General features: G+C 53.8%; 1 pseudogene, besides 1 other annotated feature; it reads right to left on the bottom strand.

Moving 5' to 3' along the window:
• Positions 966 to 1683: an enhancer, noted in NCBI's record as "H3K27ac-H3K4me1 hESC enhancer chr13:53776063-53776780 (GRCh37/hg19 assembly coordinates)". NCBI's record gives its function as "activates a minimal SCP1, AML or CMV promoter by ChIP-STARR-seq in naive H9 embryonic stem cells {active_cell/tissue: H9 hESC(naive)}" and the evidence as "EXISTENCE:reporter gene assay evidence [ECO:0000049][PMID:30033119]".
• PCDH8P1 (protocadherin 8 pseudogene 1) lies at positions 1320 to 3579 on the bottom strand (annotated as a pseudogene).

Genomic DNA, 5156 nt, shown 5'->3' with positions numbered 1-5156 from the left:
CTAAAGCACACCCCCAAATGACACAGCAGATGGACTGGATAGAATGAGGTTGCGTTGGTGCAGCATTCTGTAAACAAAGCAAAGCCAAACAAAATCACATACTCATAGGTTTCCAGCAAATGGAATCTTAGCCTATATAAAATTCATTATCTATTATGAGAAACAGATGTTTGTTGTTTAAACCACCCAGTCTATGGTATCTTATTAAAGCAGCCTGAAATGACCGAGACACTCCCTCTATGAATATATAGTTGGGGCCACTTATTTGGTAGTGTAATTAAGTCAGGAATGAGTCTTATGATGCTTTGAGAGGAAGAGCTTCAAAGCCACAGGTTTGAACTTACCCCCTTGTTTTGCAATCATTTGAAAGGATGTTTTCTTGAAACCCTCTCTGCTGATATCCAAATGGCTGTCATTCAATTCACTGTCTCCTTTTCCACTGTCCTTCATACTGAATTCATCTAGATTTGAATGTATACTGAAAGTGAAAAGGAAAGAATTACTTTGGTATCCATAAAAATGTATAAAATGTCAAACACATTGCTTAGAGATAACAACATATATTCTGAAATTACCTTAAACTTGCCGCAGATTTATTTTCTCCATAAGGGGATGAGGAATGAAAAGGAACTGAGATTGAACCCTATTTTTAAAAAGGGGTGAGAGCAGCAGTTAATAATATTTCACCGTCTAATATCAAACCCGACAGAGCAGGCGCCGCATTCCTCATCCGGAGTGCTTCAGAAACAGCATTAACCTGAGGGTCGACTGTATCCAAATTGTACGCAAAGGAAGTTATCATAGGCAAAAACAGCAGAAACAGACATGGGCCTACATGAATGAACATGTGATAATCAAGTCTCCCCCTAACCTTGCCTGTGGATAATTTTTCCTTTCCAAAAAAAAAAAAAAAACAAGCCCGGAAATATCAGCCATTTGAAGTCCCAAATCAAGCACTGAATTTTCATAAGGCTCCTAGCATGAAAAACTACTCCAAGAGAATGAGGACACTAAGAACGGCAGGGGTGCCCTACCTGGGCCCATGCAGTCCTGCTCCTCTCCCGACAAGAGGAGCTCCGAGACACCTCACTGACCTCAGACTAGGAATCCTCCACAGACTCGAACGCCTGGGCCCCTGTGGAAATGGAAACTGTCCGTGTGTCTATAAAGAACCTGGAGCAGAAGCCCCCAGAGTCAGCCCCTATGGCTCTGACACGTGGACCAGCATGGTCACTCGTTGCCTGAAATCTGCTTGGGGAGTGCTCACGGATCTTCTTCACCAGCGTCCTAGCCTTGCCTTGGCAAGAACAAGTCACAGTGATGATGGCCACTAGCAGAAGGATGCAGCCGCTGGCCAAAACACCCACCAGAACAGGGAGGGTTCAAGCTGCCCTCCCATTCGCTGCCTGATGCGTGGCTCTCCTCTCTCGTGCGGCGGCGGCATCAGCACCACTTCTGCGCCAGGTGGCGCCCGGCCCGCGGGCACGAGAAGCAGTGTGGCTGTGCACTCAGAGTGGGCCGGCCTCAGTCCCGCACCGCGATGACCGCCGTCAGCGGGCCGGCGGGCTTCGGGGACAGGCGGCGCTGCAGAGACAGCTCACCCGAAGCCGGGTGCAGCGCCAGCACCCCGGGGCCGCCGTCGCTGTCGAGGACTAAGTAAGTCGGCTCGACGTCGGCGCCCTAGTCCTCGTCTTTTGCCTGCAGACGGGTCAGCAGGTAGCCCAGTGGCGCATCCCAGGGCAGAGGCAGCTGGGCTGAGCCGTGGGAGAGCAGTGGGGCCACCAGGCGGGGCGCGTGGTAGTTCTGGTCCTCCACCTGCAGCCACACTATGGCCAGGCCCCATAGCGGCTGAGAGCAGCCGTCTAGCGCCTCCAACCGCAGCTGCATCTCCGCCAGCTCCTCGCAGTCAAAGAGCCGTCGAGCGCGCAGCTCCTGGTGGTTGGGTCCACCGAGACCTAAGTGGACACAGCGCCCCCGGCGCGGCCCACCTCGGCCTCCAGCAGCCGGTAGGTGACCTGGCCGTTGGGGCCCAGGTCCGGGTCCAGGGCGGCCACCGTGGCCAGGTAGGCGCTGGGCGGGGTGTTCTCACTCACAGATACCTCATAGACCGGCCGCGTGAAGAGCGGAGCATTGTCTTTCTCGTAGCCCACGCGCACCGTGTAGGGCCTCCTGGTGCACAGCGGGGGCGCGCCGCGGTCCGCGGTCACCAGCGTCAGGTTGTACTAGGCGATGGGCTCGCGGTCCAACGACCCCGCGGTCACCACCAGGCAGCTGCCCGCGTAGGCCCGCTGCAGCCGGAAGTGCACCTGCCAGTAGAGGGCGCAGCGCATCTGCCGGTTGGCGCCCGAGTCCCTGTCCGAAGTGCTGACCAGAGCCACCAGACTCTCGCGCGCCGCCCACTCCGGCACCAGCGTGGCGGCGCCAGCCTCGGGCGTCCTGGCTCCCGCCGACTAGCTAGCGTCCGCTCCCCCGAGGGCAGCGGCGGCGGCGGCGGCGGCGGCGGCGGCGGCGGCAGCGGCGAAGGGCGAGGCAGCCGGCGCGCCTGGGGCGGCCAGCGGGGTGATGGCGATGTCGGGCGCGTTGTCATTGACGTCGCGGATGCGCAGGATGACCTTGCAGGCGGCAGCGCGGTCCTGCGCCCGCACGTGCAGCTCGTAGGTGTCCTGACTCTGGTAATCCACGGGCCCGGCCAGAGTGAGGCGGCCAGACCGCGGGTCGAGCTGAAAGAGGCGGCGCGCCTCCCTCTGGGTGCAGGCGCCAAAAGCGAACACCACGTCGCCGTTAGGGCCCTCGTCGGGGTCGGCTGCGTCCAGGTCAAGAAGCAGGGAGCCCACAGGCGCGCCTCCGCCAGCTCCACTTCGGCCACCGTGCCCTGCGGGAAGGCCGGGCTGTGGTCATTGGCGTCCAGGACACACACGTTGAAGACAGCCGTGGCGGAGCGCAGCGGGCGGCCACCGTCCAGGGCCACCAGCTCCAGGCTGTCGGCGGCCTGGCTCTCGCGGTCCAGCTCCTGCAGCAGCACCAGGTCCGCACACTGAGCGCCGTCCGCGCGCTTCTGCAGCTCCACGCGAAAAGGGGCTGTGCGGTTGGGCCAGGCGCACGCTCTGCAGCCCATTGGTGCCCACGTCCTAGTCCACCGGCACCTCCAGGGTGCGTGCACACGGCCGCACCCTCAAACATCTCCACCGGGATCTGGGCCCGGGGGAAGCGCGGCGCGTGGTCGTTGACATTCCTCACCTCCACCTCCACGTGCACCAGCAGGAACTGTTCCTGCGAGAAGCTGACCACGTCGAAGACCAGCACGCACTGCGGGGCCTGGCCGCACAGCGCCTCGCAGTCCAGGCCGGTGTCCCCGACGGTCAGCTGCCCGTAGCCCTCGCGCACCCGGAGCAGAGAGCTGTTGAATTGTTTCATCAGCTGAAACTGACTTGGCACCTCGCGCTGCGAATTAAACTGGACGTGATCAGACAAAACACCGACGCTGGTGCCAGGGGTGTCTTCCTCACAGGTGAGGAAATTGACAGTATCGGTACAAAATCCTGACACTAGCAGCAGCCACAGAATCAGCAAGGACTCCAATCCAACCCTGCATGAAGTGTCAGCAGGAAATCTGAGCCTCCAGCGAGACATTTATTCCTCAAAGAGAAAAGCCAATCGCAAGCTCTGCACTAAGACTTTCAGGCTTCTCAAGCCCTCCCGAGTGCCGAGTGCTCAGTCAGAAAACACTTTTCCCCTTAGAACATCCCATCACTAAGTCCTCTCTGCTATATACTTGCTTTTCTCTGCCCCAAGCCTAAGCATGCCTCTTCAGAACCCTACTGGGGGAGCTACATACAGAAGAATATGCAAATAATCATCCATTTGGGCCAGTCCACAGTCTCTGGGCCTCTGGGCCATGCTGTTTCACTAAAGGACCCACAGAAGGGCCTGAAGAGCTGACCAGTGGCCAGGGTGGTGCAGGTGGTTATTAAGATCTCTGCACTATAAAAACACATCCTGCTTGCTTTTCCATTGTACTGGCCTCGCTTCGACAATAAGAGCAGGAATCCACAGCCACTTTACTCCTTCCTAAGCAGACTCACATATTCCCCACACAGAGGCACATTTGACCCTCTTTACCATTTTAAGATAAACGTATACATGCTTAGTGCAATGCATCCTCTGCCACCTACAGTTACCCATCTATGTTGGGTTGTCATTTCCTATATTGAAAGATTTTTGGGAAACATCTTCTAGAGTGTCAGGCAATGTCTAATTAGGGAAGAACTGTTTTCCAAAATAATCATTTCTAAATAGTTTTTTTCTACAGCAAAGAAACCATTAATGATGAAATTTCAGCCCCTTCATCTCCTTTTATGTCAGTAATTACTTATATGTGAGGAACCAGTATCAGACAGAGAAGTCTGTCAACCACAAACCACTGTAAGGGATACTTAAGGGTAAGAAAAAGATTTAGAGAAATATATTGCAGTCAGTCTTGTTAGAAAATTGCTGTAGACCAATTATTTTTTAAAAGCCCTTGGCTGAAGGAAACCACGGGTGGTCTGATAGGCTGAAGGCTAAAAAAACATTAAACCATCTGTCTAAAGCCCAATAAATAGTCCTGTGTTAAGTTCTTTTTATGTGTGAAGTGTTCAAAATGCTAAACAGTCTCACATGTTAATGATGACATTGTTCCTCGTGCCATGGAGTCCTCATCAGTGCAGAATGTTATTTAACTAGTCATCTCAAATCAGTGAGTAGGCGGAGTTATTAATATGCCCAGGCTATTCTTGTCTCCTCTATGATCTGTAATGTTATTGATTCCTGCAGGGACATGTCAGTAAATGACTTTTTTTTCCTTTCATTCCGAGGAGGCAGTTGGCATTTATTTCAATGCCAGGACATATGAATCCTGTTCTGAAAGTGAGCCATCTTTGATGAGATAATTAATTTTCAGGGGTTTTCATTTAGTGAAGCATTTGGCAATGACTCTAATTACAAGTACCGGTGACCGGTATTGGGGAAGTATACTGGGAAGCATGAGTTCATTTGAGCGGGGTACTCTGAGATCCTAAAAAGAAAAAGTACTCTATTTTCCTAGATTTTTAATTTTGCCTAATGAGGCATCTGTCTGAGGAAGAGAAGAGCTCTACTTCAGCCTGGTAAGAACAGAC

This window comes from Homo sapiens, chromosome 13 (genome assembly GCF_000001405.40).
Source record: "Homo sapiens chromosome 13, GRCh38.p14 Primary Assembly".
NCBI classification, from domain to species: domain Eukaryota; kingdom Metazoa; phylum Chordata; class Mammalia; order Primates; family Hominidae; genus Homo; species Homo sapiens.
Note: the sequence above shows the minus strand (reverse complement) of the source record. Positions and strands in the feature narration are given on the sequence as shown.